The sequence below is a fragment of the Homo sapiens genome, chromosome 2 (genome assembly GCF_000001405.40).
Source record: "Homo sapiens chromosome 2, GRCh38.p14 Primary Assembly".
Taxonomy (NCBI): domain Eukaryota; kingdom Metazoa; phylum Chordata; class Mammalia; order Primates; family Hominidae; genus Homo; species Homo sapiens.
This window is the reverse complement of record NC_000002.12, coordinates 230532100-230547006: the sequence shown is the minus strand read 5'-3', so window position 1 is coordinate 230547006 and position 14907 is coordinate 230532100. Positions and strand designations below refer to the sequence as shown.

The 14907-nt window shown below is 41.5% G+C and overlaps 1 protein-coding gene across 1 annotated transcript in view; it reads right to left on the bottom strand.

Annotated features, from left to right (window-relative positions):
- Positions 1401-14907, bottom strand: part of SP100 (SP100 nuclear antigen) — a 129406-nt gene continuing 115899 nt past the window's right edge. The window contains exons 25-29 of the mRNA NM_001080391.2: positions 7625-7740; positions 6011-6131; positions 5635-5706; positions 4972-5115; positions 1401-4171 (exon numbers count right to left, since the gene is read on the bottom strand). Of these exons, the coding sequence (NP_001073860.1) occupies positions 4061-4171; positions 4972-5115; positions 5635-5706; positions 6011-6131; positions 7625-7740 (564 nt within the window). The 3' untranslated portion in view covers positions 1401-4060. The remainder of the gene's footprint in view (positions 4172-4971; positions 5116-5634; positions 5707-6010; positions 6132-7624; positions 7741-14907) is intronic.

Below are 14907 nucleotides of genomic sequence, written 5' to 3'. Positions count from 1 at the left end.
ACATACAGGTGAATTGAATGGAGATATTACAGAGGCCAGTTGATATTTTTTAGGTCTTTGAGAGTGCTAATCCCTGCAATTCCATATTTTTGCTTGGGGGATGGCAATTTCAAGGGTCTCCACTTTGCTTTTCCTACTACAATGGATATTATGTCACAAGCTAGTGAACCAATGAGGGTTCTGCTAGTTCCTAAGTGCAGTCATTAAAATTATATACACAGGGACTGGAGAAAAAATTGCAAGGTCTGTTTATGAAGCCAAAGGACACACCATGAGGCTGACTTAGGCTAGTTCTCTATTTCTCACCTGGCCTCTGTAAGAATCTATTGTGATGATCATGGAGGTGATTTACATCTCTTTATATATCTCTTTATATATCTCTTTATATATCTCTCAGCCACCTCTTTGAGAGTTATTCATCTCTCTGAGTATCTCTCATATATACACACACACATATATGCATATACATATGTGTATACATATATGTATGTATATACATGTGTGTATACATATATGTGTGTGTGTGTGTGTGTATATATATATATATATATGCTAATAAACTTCTGTTTTTCTCTTGTTAATCTGTCTTTTGTTACAGGGGCCCCAGAGGATCTGGGTAGGGGAAACTTAGAAGGGTAGTGGGAAAATTATTTTTTCCTCTTTTACACATGCAAATACACCAGGGTGCCCTGGCAGAATCATTTTCCAACAGAACCAAGAATTGTCTGGCCACGCGTGGTGGCTCACGCCTGTAATCCCAGCACTTTGGGAGGCCGAGGTGGGTGGATCACGAGGTCAAGAGATCGAGACCATCCTGGCCAACATGGTGAAACCCCGTCTCTACTAAATATACAAAAAATTAGCCGGCCGTGGTGGCAGGCACCTGTAGTCCCAGCTACTTGGGAGGCTGAGGCAGGAGAATGGCGTGAACCCAGGAGGCAGAGCTTGCAGTGAGCTGAGATTGTGCCACTGCCCTCCAGCCTGGGCTACAGAGTGAGACTCCATCTCAAAAAAAAAAAAAAGAATTGTCCGAGATTTTAGTGCTCAATGGAGGAATGCTTCCATCCCCTAAACCGAATACGATTCCATGAATTGAAAGTTGGAGGTGCTATGTAGCCACCACAGGCTTCCTGATGCCACTGGGTAAAAGGTGAAAATGATACCATCTAGTATTCAGTATGGTAATCAGTGACAAAATTACGTATAAATAACAGTAGCTTTGTGTAATAGGCAATAATCAGTAATAAAATTCAATGGGAAAAGATTGCTTTCACGGCAACAACAAAAAATACAAAACTGAATAATTGGGAAGATATAATATGATCCTTTATAGAAAGACTTTATGTTATCAGTTGTAAGTTTCGTTCCAAATTATTCAATAAGAGAACTTGATAAGACAATTTTATTATTAAAATTTTTTTTAATGATCCATTTATTTACAATTAAAAAAACTTTTAGGTTCAGGGGTATATGTGAAGGTTTGTTATATAGGGAAACTCTTGTCACGGGTTTGTTGTACAGAGTACTTCATCACCAATAGGTACTTTTTCTGCTCCTCTCCCTCTTCCCATCCTCCACCCTCAAGTAGACCCTAGTGTCTGTTCCCTTCATTGTGTTCATGAGTTCTCATCATTTAGCTCCCACTCACAACTGAGAACCTGTGGTATTTGGTTTTCTGTTCCTGAATTAGTTTGCTAAGGATAATAGCCTCCAGCTCTATCCATGTTCCTGAGACATGATCTCATTGTTTCTTATGGCTGCATACTATTCCATGGTGTATGTGTACCATATTTTCTTTATCCAATCTGTTACTGATGGGCACTTAGGTTGATTCTGTATCTTTGCTATTGTGAATAGTGCTGCAGTGGACATTTGCATGCATGTGTCTTTATGGTAGAATGATTTATATTCCTCTGGGTATGTACCCAGTAATGGGATTGCTGGGTGGAATGGCAGTTCTGCTTTTAGCACTATGAGGAGTTGCCACACTGCTTTCCACAGTGGTTGAACTAATTTACACTCCCATCAATAGTGTATAAATGTTCCCTTTTCTCCACAACCTTACTAGCTGTTATTTTTTGACTTTTTAGAAAGAGGCATTTTGACTGGTGTGAGATGGTGTCTCATTGTAGTTTTAATTTGCATGTCTCTAACGATCAGTGATATTGAGCTTTTAAAACATGCTTGTTGGCCGCATGTGTATCTTCTTTTGGAAAGTGTCTTTTCATCCGGGCATGGTGGCTGATGCCTGTAATCCCAGCACTTTGGGAGGCCGAGGTGGGTGGATCACCTGAGGTCGGGAGTTCAAGACCAGCCTGACCAATGTGGAGAAACCCCGTCTCTACTAAAATACAAAATCAGTCAGGTGGTGCATGCCTGTAATCCCAGCCACCTGGGAGGCTGAGGCAGGAGAATTGCTTGAACCCGGGAGGCAGAGGTTGTGGTGAGCCAAGATCACGCCATTGCACTCTGGCCTGGGCAACAAGAGTGAAACTCCATCTTAAAAAAAAAAAGTGTCTTTCATGTCCTTTGCCCACTTTTTAATGGGGTTATTTCTTTTTGTCTTGTAAATTTGTTTAAGTTCCCTATAGAAGCTGGCTATTAGACCTTTGTCAGATGCATAGTGTGCAAATATTTTCTCCCATTTTGTAGGTTGTCTGTTTACTCTGTTGATTGTTTCTTTTGCTGTGCAGAATCTCTTAAGTTTAATTAGATCCCATTTGTCAAATTTTGCTTTTGTTGCTATTGCTTTTGTCTTTATCATGAAATCTTTGCCTGTTCCTATGTCCAGGATGGTATTGCCTAGGTTGTCTTCCAGAGTCTTCATAGTTTTTGATTTTACATTAAGTCTTTAATTGATCTTGAGTTGATTTTTGTATATGGTGTAAGGAAGAGGTCTAGCTTCAATCTTCTATCCCAGTTATCCCAGCACCATTTATAAAATAGGGAGTCTTTTTCCCATTGCTTGTTTTTATCGACGATCAGATGGTCATAGGAGTGTGGTCTTATTCTGTGCTCTTCGTTCTGTTCCATTGGTCTATGTGGCTTTTTTTTTGGTACCAGTACCATGCTGTTTTGGTTACTGAAGCCCTGTAATATAGTTTGAAGTGGGGTAACGTGATGCCTTCAGCTTTGTTCTTTTTGCTTAGGATTGCCTTGGCTATTTGGGCTCTTTTTTGGTTCTGTATGAATTTTAAAATAGTTTTATCTAGTTCTGTGAAGAATGTCATTGGTGGTTTGATAGGAATAACATTGAACCTGTAAACTGCTTTGGGCAGTATGGTCATTTTAATGATATTGACTGTTTCTACACAGGAGCATGGGATGTTTTTCCATTTGTTTGTGTCATCTCCAATCTCTTTGAGCAGTGTTTCGTAATTCTCATTGTAGAACTCTCTCACCTCCCTGATTAGCTGTATTCCTAGGTATTTTATTCTTTTAGTGGCAATTGTGAATGAGATTGCCTTCCTGATTTGGCTCTTGGCTTGGCTATTGCTGGTGTATAGGAATACTAGTAATTTTCATATACTAATTTTGTATTCTGAAACATCTCTGAAATTGTTTATCAGCAGAAGGAGCTTCTGGGCTGAGACTAGGGGGTTTTCTAGATATAGAATCAATGTTGTGTGCAAACAGGGATAGTTTGACTTCCTCTTTGCCTATTTAGATACCCTTTATTTTTTTCTGCTTCCTGACTGCTCTGACCAGGACTTCCAATACTTTGTTGAATAGGAGTGGTGAGAGAGGGAATCCTTGTCTTGTGCTTGTTTTCAAGGGGAATGCTTCTTTTGCGCATTCCATATAATGTTGTCTGTGGGTTTGTCATAAATGGCTCTTATTATTTTGGGATATGTTCCTCAATACCTAGCTTATTGAGAATTTTTAACATGAAGGGGTGTTGAATTTTATTGAAAGCTGAAAAGACGGTTTTAAAATGGCAATGATAAATTTTGGAGAATTGTGATGTGGAGTTTCCACAGGAGCAGTCACAGATTAGTGGGACCACAGGCACATTGCGTAGCTAGCTGCCAGAGGATCTGAAGGGAGGAGATAAGAATGGCTAAATAAACATTATAATGTTCTTGCTTGTTTCCTGAATTGCAAAAATGTTTCTGAAATTCTTCTCAAAGATGTCCTGTACTTGAATTCCCAGTCTGGTGAATTTATCTTCCTAAAAAAGCAAAGAAAAAAACAATATAGCAGTTATGCAATGAGCTGAGACACCCAGTGTTGCAGATAATCTGGGGCCTCATTTTAGGTTATCCCAAATGTTAAGTGAGAATTAATCTACTTGAGTTGCTTATGTTCCTTGATAATTTAATTATTTATCTTTATCTGGAAGACAAGTCAAAATACTACTACACTGAAATCTAATTTCTGATCAAAAGCTTATGGATTAATTTAACTTTTAAAAATTCTACTTGTGTGATTTTTATGCACAGCATTTTCTGAGTAACCTTATGATAGTACAGAAATGTTTAAGGCCATTTAATAATGTCTTCCTTTTCCCTTTACTCTCACCCCTTGACATAATCCTTATTAATTTCTGAAATAGTGCCAGGAAGTTCAGATGTAAAGAAATTCAATATTTTGACATTTGAGACCTTTGATTTGGTATCTTCCTCTAGAGAAGAGAAACACTTTAAATGCCTTTAAAGTGCACTTCTATTTCCAGTAGAAACAAATGAGTCTGCAGCCTACTGTTCTCTATGGGTGAAAACAAACCATCTAGAAATGAGTCAACTCTGAGGTTATATATAGGACCATGTTTGCAATGGCACCTTCCAGTTTGTTGTTATTTTCTCCACATGCACTACAGGGCTTTTAGGATACTTCCAGGATTTGTACTTGTATGGGCTTGTCATATGATAAGGGCGATTGTAACATTTACCTGACATGAAAAGATGACAGGGAAAGTGACTTTAAAGTGATGTAATTGAAAGAGAAAAGGAAGCAGGGAGAGCCACTCACCCTGTAAAATTCCTTGTGGTTATGAAAGATGAGACGCATGTCCTGCACAAACCCTTCTACTCGGGTGTACATCTGCTCATTCAAACTTGTCTTGACTTTGTTTAACCACATGGGCTTCTGTGGGCCCTGAGACCCCTCTCTGTTCTGTTGAGTAAAAGACCAAAATGAGGCTATCAGCCCAGTGCCATAGACTCCCACTATTATGGAATAAAGGTTTGTGGAGTTCCCCCAATCCATAGGTCAAAATCCTAACCCCCCTGTGAAGGTACTAGGAGGTGGGACCTTTGGGAGGTCATGAGGTAAGAAGGGTGGAGCCCTCATGAATAGGATTAGGGCTCTTATAAAAGAGACTCTGGAGAGTTCTCTCCTTCTCTTTCTGCCACTCAAGAACACAGGGAGCAACCCTGTGTCGTCTCTGACACCTAGAAGACAGCCCTCTCCAGAACCGGACCCTACTGACACCCTGATCTTGGACATGCAGCCTCCGGGACCGTGAGAAAAACATTTCTGCTGTTTAAGCCACCTAATCTATGATAAATTTCTATAGTAGCCTGAACTAAAAACTCATCAACAAGCCAAATAGAATGGCACCTTGTGCCATGGGATTCAGATCACAGATTTGACAAATGCCAGTATAAGCATTTTTGTTTGGCTGTTACTTACATAATACGGTTCTGAGGCGAAAAAGCAGCTTTTCGAATCACAGTAGACCTTCAAGAGGAGGAATTCACATTTCTGCAAAAGATGGAGGCCATTTCAAATTAAATGCAATTTAGAGAGAAAGAGCTCATATGCTTGCCCAAAGAGAACACACGACTCCCAAACCTGTGGACTCTTTGAAACAAACATGGCATGGGGAGTTTCTTTGGACCGGGATTTTTCTTTGGAATATGAATTGTAGCGTTAGGTCATGGAGCAAAGCACACCATAGGCCAGCAGTTTGCTTTTGGGCTCCATTCCTTGAGCACTTTGTAAGACTGTGCTTCTCCTGCCCAGGTGAACAGAAAGGAAGAGGCTTCAGGTTCACATTTTTACTCACCAACTGCTCCTCAGGCAGCATCTGCCTCATCAGGACTTCAGATTCCTGATGACCTGATTGGCTTTCTGGGCATCTTTCCTGAATAGTCTTTATCCTGCAGAAGATGCAACTCCACGGGTTCCTGAGAGATGGGGCATAAAGTGAGCAATGGCAGGTTCTGTGAATCAGCCGCCATTCCTACAGTTGTTCAAGTCCTCTGCTCAAGAATGCCTAGTGGTTTCCACCTTGTATCCAACTTCTCTCTTGGAGGCCTCTGCACTAGAGCCCCATTTGGACTCAATAGCCAAAGGCATGCCCTCCCACCAATAGTGATAGCAGGGGTGATCATCTGTTGGCTGAAGTGCCCCATGAGTGACAGAATCTCATTCACCTCAAAACTTAGGGTTTCCATCTGAGCCACTGGGAACTTGATAATGAGCACGGTTTGCTACAGTTAATGGAAATGAGTACCTTAAGCACAAAGTGTTGGGCCTCTATGAGTCAATCAGATCACAGAAAAATCAGAAAACAAGTTCTTGTTTCTCAACTTTGCTGAGTAAGCAGAGAGCACAGGCTATAGGCATCCTCTCCCTTGGCCCTGCCATATCTTATACCTAGAATCTGTGCTGCAGAAACTTCTTGAAAAGGAAATCTCCAGAGAGGTGTCAGATATCTTTCATTTGTTCCTAGATTCATTCTCCAACCTTCTCTACTAGGCTGTCTGTGCTAGGAGGCTTTTGATAATCAGGCAAGCACAATGACCCATCCTAGTGATGCCAGCATCCCCTTGGCCATGTAGTGCTTGCTCAAGGAGCCTGTTACAAAGTGCTCCTTTGAGAGCACTTTGCATCTCTGGTGCAGAGATAGGGGCTATACAAGGGCTCAACCAAAAAGCTGGTTTTTCTTCTGCCTCTGCAGATTGGCCAACTGGTCAAAAGCAGAGGTTTATGCTGATCCCCTGAGATGACACCCTGGGAGCAGGTGGGTCACATTAGCCTCCTCCATTATGGAAGGGCAATGCTCTGCCCTCATAGAGTCAGACACATTCCCGGTAGAGATCATCCTCTCAGCCTTAACAATTCTGTCCACACACCACTCACAGAGCACCTTATCAATCTCCGTGGTATCCTGCACACCATCACCTCTGTCCAAAGGCACATTTTTTAGCAAAGGAAGTGAGCAGGGGACTCACACTTGCAGAATTCACAGGTCTCAACATGTGACCTGTGACCCAGGGTCAGTTGGCTTGATAGACTGCTGCAGCACTGGCTTTACCAGCTGTGTGATGGTCCCACAGCAGGTGGTGTACTCTTTAAACCAGCAGGCAGTGTATGATGGCATCACCCCATTAGAGAGCATGGGTCTGGGAGCCAAGTAGGGGAGGTAGAAGTTGACACCTCTTACTATTGCACTCAATAACCACTTGAAGAGTTTTTGCTTCCCATTAATCTGCTGCTACCAGCACTGTTCAACAGCTCTGGATAATACTTGTGGATCTTGATGCTAAGGAGCCTGCTCCTTATGCATCAAGAAACACATAACCAGGTACAGAAACTCTGCAGAGTACTCATGAGTGGCAGGAGGAGCTGTACCACAAGAAGGAAGGGCTCAGGGAAGGGGACATGTCTTACTCACTTGTTAGCTTCCACGGATGGGATGTGGCAGTGCTCATGAAAGGATCTTGGACAAGTGTCGCAGCAGAACAGCCGTCCCCATTTGTTGCACACCTCACATATATTTGAGTTTTCCGGCTAGAAGGGGAGATGTAGACATCACCGGGATCAGTGAGACCCTTGGACCCTAGAATATGTGACCTTTTTATGTATCAAGGGCACACTTGTAAATTTCTGTCCTCAAAATATTAAAGATTGCTGAGTGGAGATCTCAGAAGACATTTTGGTCTGCGGCAAAGTTCAGTAGATAGTGGCTGTGTGTCAGGCCAGAAAAGTTTTCTTTATGAAACCAGAGATTCTGACATGATGACTAGTGACAAAAATAGGATGAATTAGAGATTTTTTGAGCAATTTATTAAACAGCTGGGAAAACCTGGCCCAGAAATAGTGTCTTTTCTAGCTGTCTACATCGTATCCTTTAAACTGACTTGCCAAAGGGTGATTTACTGAGAATTTAATATGATGGAATAAACTTCTGAGATATCACTGCAACCCACACTCTTGTCATAGCAAGAATGAGTTGAAGAAAGGGCTTGGGGGAGGAGTTCCTAGATGTCAGTTCTTTTCCTGGAGGGCTCTGGGCCTGCAGCAGTACCTCTGGGATGGAAAAACCGTGGGCAAGATGACCAGGTGGGCACCAGGGAGTACAGGGCTTTTTGCTTTTTGCTCTGGGAACCTGGAGGAAGAGTCCCCATGACTTAGGCATGTAAGGTGTTGTAATTTCTCTTCCTCTACAAAGTCACTATACAAAGAAGAGACTAAAGTCACATAAATAAAAACAATTCTAGGCTGCAAGATATATCTTGCCCATGTGTTCCCTTTCAATGGCAGAATTTGAGTGGCCTATTAGGAGCCATTTCTTGGGCACATCTCCAAGGGGGGTGCCTGAGCTTCCCCTGGAGTGGGGCCTTGTAACTGTTTTTCCTTTTTGTTGTAACAGATGAGACTCATCGATGCTGACCACTATTTTTAGGCTGCTGGGTCAAGGTTTCTGATACATCATCCTATAAAGTACACTGCAAGTGGGCCCCAAGAAAGAATAAATACCACAGGCAAATCCTATGTTTGAAGTTCCATTGTCTAGAAAGCCTGCAAACTTGGTGTATGTCTCTTTAACCTTTTTAGTAAGAATTTTTTTCTTTTGCTTACAAGTGGTTCTCAACTTGCTCTACAGTAGAATCCCCTGGGAGCATTAAAAAACATCTCTGGAGCCCCATTACCAGAGATTTTGATTCAGTTAGTCTGGGTTGGTGTATAGGCATCAGTATGTCTTAAATATTGTCCAGATGGTTCTAATGTGCAGTCAATAGTTGAGAACTCTGGCCTCTAATGCAGTGGTCTCTGGACCAGCAGCAGCAGCACCTGGAACTTGTTAGAAATATACAGCCTTGGGCTCTGCCTCTCACTTGCTGAATCAGAAGCCTAGGGGTAGCTCCTAGCCAGCTGTGGTCTATGAAGCCCTTCAGGTGGTTCTGATGGACCCTACACAATTGTGGCAATTGTGATCGAACTGTATTGCACTACAGTGACTCACAACTTTTCTTGTGCTAGAAAAACACAAAACACCAGAGGAGCTTTGGAAACACCAATTCTCAGGCAGCACCTCAGACCAATAACATCAGAATCTTTGTCAGGCGGTTGCGGGGGATCCCCAGGTGATTGCAACGTGCAGCCAAGGTTGAAAACCCACATTACAAAGTGGTTTCTCCTGAGTAAGGGCTGGGAGGTCATAACTAGAGTCATTAACAGCCTACAAGTTTGTCTAGGAAAGTTTTTGAAAAGGGGTGAGGACTTCCTTGCTGGAAGAGTTGCCTTTTCCTCTTCACAGAGGGCTTGGCTGTGGGCTGTAAGAAATGGCCCTATGGGTCTCCCTTAGTCATCAAACAAGTTATGCAGACCCCAGAGATGAGAGCTGTTTGACTACTGAAGGGTCTCACCTCCAGCAAAGAAACAGAAACAGTGTGGATTGATCTAGATCTTGCTAGGGAAGAGCATTGGCTAAGAAAATAGAGGGCATGGCAACTTCTTTTCTATCCCCTCTCAATTAGTGTCCTGTACCAGTCCAGCTGCATGGCATTTTTGTTTTGAGACAGGGTCTCACTCTGTCACCTCGGCTGGAGTGCAGTGGTGCGATCACAGCTCACTGCAGCCTCAACTTCCTGGACTTAAGTAATCCTACCACCTCAGCCCCTGGAGTAGCTGGGACTACAGGTGTGTCCCACCATGCCTGACTAATTTTTGGTATTTTTTGTGGAGGTGGGGTTTTGCCATGTTGCCCAGGCTGGTCTCAAACTCATGGGTTCAAGTGATCCTCTTGCCTCAGCCTCCCAAAGTGCTAGGATTGCAGGCATGAATCACTGTGCCTAGCTTACATGGCATTCTTACAGCAAAAGGTGCTCCTTGCAGTTGTGCAAAAGGCTGACCCTGCCTAAAATGCTCATCTCATTGCAATGAAAAGAATCAAAATGTGACTTTGTTTAGACAGGGAAGTCACCCATGATTTTGTTATTGAAATACCAGGGGTTCAGTTTAGGTCCTGCTGCTTGCCACGCAGAAAGCCAATCACTGAGACAATGAGTATTGCCAAGCAAGAAGGCTTTAGTCGGGTGCTGCAGCCAAGGGGATGAGAGATCAGTCTGAAATCTGTCTCCCTGACTCACTAAAGTTAGGGGTTTATATAGCAGAAATGTATCTATATTCAGGGAAGCAGGAATTAGGGAGTGGTAAGGAGGAATTGGTTAACAGGAAGGAGATTATTGGTTAGGCAGTCATAAGGGGTGAGGAGTTTGGCATCTCATTGTCCAAATACAGTAATCTGGTGAGTTTCAGTCCCTTGATGTTATGTGGGGGTCTGACGGTTGGTTTCCTGAGAAAGAACTCAGATAAGACAAATGTAACTCTCTCAAGTTTTAAGACTGAGAGGGTCAATTTCTATGTTTATTCAAAATAAACTGTAAAAATCAGATTTATGGGACAATTGGGTTCATTTCAGTGCCCCTTTTCTGTTTATCAATTCCTCAATCATGGGGAACTGGTTGTCAATCTTTCTGGCTGTTTCATGCTGATGAGGAGTGTCGTGGGCAAATCCATACCATGGGTGACCCACATAGCCACCCAAAAATCAAAAGTTAACTGAATACTATAGGTTTCTTCTGAAACACACTCTTTTTCTCTCCAGTCTCCCACTTCCACTAAAGACAAATCACAGCAGGACCAACCTACCTGCCAAATAAGCTTCAGTCCCATATACTTGGCTTATTTGCCCACACAAAGTGCAGCAAGAACCATTGTCCATGTAGGCTATCTTAAACTGGCTTTGCTGGAACCTCTCACAAGGCCATTTCAGTCAAAGCCCTGGGAAAATGACCAGTTCCTCCAACTGTGTCTCATTATAAAAGAAAACATATTCTTTTTTTTTTTTTTTTTTTTTTTTTTTTTGAGATGGAGTCTTGCTCTGTCACCCAGGCTGGAGTGGAGTGGCATGATCTTGGCTCCCTGCAGCCTCCACCTCCCAGGTTCAAGTGATCCTCCTGCCTCAGCCTCCCGAGTAGCTGGGACGACAGGCATGCACCACCACTCCTGGCTAATTTTTGTATTTTTAGTAGAGACGGGGTTTCACCATGTTGGCAGGCTGGACTCAAACCCCTGACCTCAAGTGATCCACCTGCCTTGGCCTCCCAAAGTGCTAGGATTACAGGCATGAGCCAACACACCCAGCAGAAAACAGATTCTTATTAAACATACGCAAACACATTGCCATGAATTAATAATATTCACAAATAGTTTATGAATTCTGGAGAAATTAGGCAGAGAGAGAGAGAAATATGCCTCAAACTTAGTTTACAAGAGTAATGCTCCTCTCAATTGTTAAAGGCAGCAATGTTTCAAACAAAAAAAATCCATAAGAAATTATTTCTGGCCTCCATTTGTTCAGTGTAGGCAACTAACTCCTGCTCTGCTTCATATTAGGTTAGTAAATTTTATGAATGTATCAGTTTTTCAGTTAGTTTCTTGGACGTTTTCTCTCTCTAATCTAATGAAACAACCTCCAAAGTCATCAGAAACCTACATTCAAAAGTCCTTTTCATGAACTCCCCCAAAGAAGCAAACCATGGACTGTAGCTGATTATAAGATACTTTTTTTTTTTTGAGATGGAGTCTCACTCTGTCGCCCAGGCTAGAGTGCAGTGGCACAATCTCGGCTCACTGCAACCTCCACCTCCCAGGTTCAAGGAATTCTCCTGCCTCAGACTCCCGAGTAGCTGGGACTACAGGTGCCTGCCACCATGCCCGGCTAATTTTTTTTATTTTTAGTAGAGACGGGGTTTCACCATCTTGGCCAGGGTGGTCTCGAACTCCTGACCTTGTGATCCACCCGTCTTGGCCTCCCAAAGTGCTGGGATTACAGGCGTGAGCCACCATGCCCGGCTGATTATATGTTACTTTTTGAGAAGAATCAATGCAAAATAACAATAGTGGATGTCAAAACTCTTAAGCAAGCCATAGTTAAAGACACAGTTGATGAGGAAATTTGGTTATTTCTGTGACATATAACAATTCAACATAATAAGCATAATTATTACTGATGGCATATATTAAAACATGCAAGAATCATACAATCCTGGAACACATATTAACAACACATCTATATAAATATAACCCAAAAGAAGTTGACCACCACCTCAGATGTGACAACGCTTTCTGCATAATTCTAATGTAACAAATAAGTCAATAAGTCTAGTATGTCTCTCTTGAACTTCAGGGAACCTAATGTGCAAATAAGTTAGTTTGAGGTCAAAAAGGCCGAATTTAGAACTTGAAATTTTTACTCTTGGAAAGTCTGTCAAATATCAAAGTTTTAAGACATTTGATATTACAAAATAGGATCACAGGTCACTGTAAAGTAGTCATTGATTTAGCTAAGACTTCTCTTTTTTTTGAGACGGAGTCTCGCTCTGTCACCCAGGCTGGAATGCACTGGTGCAATCTCAGCTCACTGCAACCTCCGCCTCCTGGGTTCATGCCATTCTCCTGCCTCAGCCTCCCGAGTAGCTGGGACTACAGGTGCCCACCACCACGCCCGGCTAATTTTTTGTATTTCAGTAGAGATGGAGTTTCACCATGTTAGCCAGGATGGTCTCAATCTCCTGACCTCCTGATCCACCCACCTCAGCCTCCCAAAGTGCTGGGATTACAGGCGTGAGCCACCGCACCCGCTGACATTTACCCTTTTCTAGGGAGTAGACTCAGTTTCCCAAACAATGAAACCTAATAAAGACAGCATGAGGCCACCTAAATGTCTTTTTCCTCCTTTTTTTGCACCCTGTAGTTATTCAAAAGGTAAATAAAAATATTTCATTAGCTCTCATATGAAAATTTTGTTCAAAAGAGAAAACCAAATTTCACCTTTGTATAGTGTATTACTAATATTAAAAGTAATTTTTAAAACCTTATAAACAATTTTAATTTTATCAGTTTGTTTGTAGAGTAAGATCTCCATAAACCTTTTACAATCTTCTATTAAAGAGCCGATTAATGCTCCAGGAAAATGCTGTTATTCTGACACATGGGCCTAGACTCTGGCCTTGAATCAGTGTGCTTTTGATATTAATATTTAATTTATAGAAAACCCTCAAATCTCACATGTCCACATCTGCCATGACAGTCCCTTGGCCTAGACAGATTGAATAGTTTTAATTTCTGGCCCAGTGTCTCATGAAAGCAGTTCATTTTGACTGTCATTTTCTCCCAGGTCTGAAGATGAGGCTTAAACTAGGGTAATGTTCAAGATTTAGCAGAAGTAGGTGCCTTTTTCAGACCCAGAAGTTAAAGCCCTGTAACTTAACAGCACAAGGATTGGTTAAGAGGACATTTATGCTGCAGAAAGTCCTATCATTTTCTGTGACATGTCACAAACACTGTGATTTAGTGTCCAGTAGTTATTACTTCCTATAGCACTTCAAACCATTGTATTAAAGTATTTAGGTTACTCCTCGCATATATCTAATTGCTAGCATTCTGGTGACAGAACTGTGACTAAAAGTGTAAAAAATGGGATAGGTCCTATTTTAAACTTATCAAAATAAAGACAATTAACTTTTCTCTCCATCATTAAAAAATGGTAAATGTAAATATCAGTTTTGGAAATTTAGCATGAGGATAAATAATCTCCTTTCATTTAGATACTATGCAACAAAACAGGGACAAAATGAGATTAAGCACACACACAGTAATTTCTTTTTAGCTATTTTAAAAGAGCATCAGGGCCGGGCACGGTGGCTTATGCCTGTAATCCCAGCACTTTGGGAGGCCGGGGCAGGTGGATCACATAAGGTTAGGCGTTCGACACCAGCCTGGCCAACATGATGAAACCTCGTCTCTACTAAAAATACAAAAATTAGCCAGGCGTGGTGGTGGGCGCCTGTAATCCCAGCTACTGGGGAGGCTGAGGCAGGAGAGTTGCTTGAACCCAGGAGGCAGAGGTTGCAGTAAGCCAAGATCGCGACACTGCACTCCAGCCTGGGTGAAAGAGCGAGACTACGTCTCAAAAATAAATAAATAAATAAAAATAAAAATAAAAGAGCACTAGCACACATTTCCATGATTGGTAATATAGTACTGACAACTAATTAGGTAACTTTCTAATCAGTTACAATACTGACAACTGATTAGGTAACTTTCACCACTAGACTCTTCAAACCAGTGAAACACTTGTGGATATTTTGTTTTCAAGTACACACATGAAAGACTCAACAGTGATAGAAGGCTTGGGATCAAAACTCACTAGTCTCACATCTTTTTTTTTTTTATTACTACTTAATCTAAGTGAATGTCACTTAATTTTAATAATGGTAAAGATAACTAAAGTAATTTGAGAGAAATCCCAATTAGTATAATTTCCTTAAGGATAGGCCAATATTTTCTGAACATTAAAACTTTGTACCTATATCACAGTTTTTCCTCATTAAAGGAAAAGATCTGAAACTAACTCAAATTATTGATTGAATTGAATTACCTTGGAAAAAAACATCATTTAAACATTTCTATTCTCACCTACTTTTCAAATAACAAAATAAAAAAGTGCTATTACTTTTCAGAACTTATGTCTTTTATTTATTTATTTTTTTCTAGGAACCGTAAAGCTCTTACAGCTCTCTAGATCGTTAGAAGTAAGAAAAACCATCAAATTTTAAGTGGTCGGTGTCCTCTATTAATTTTTGGAGACCTGACAAAGGTAGATTAGGA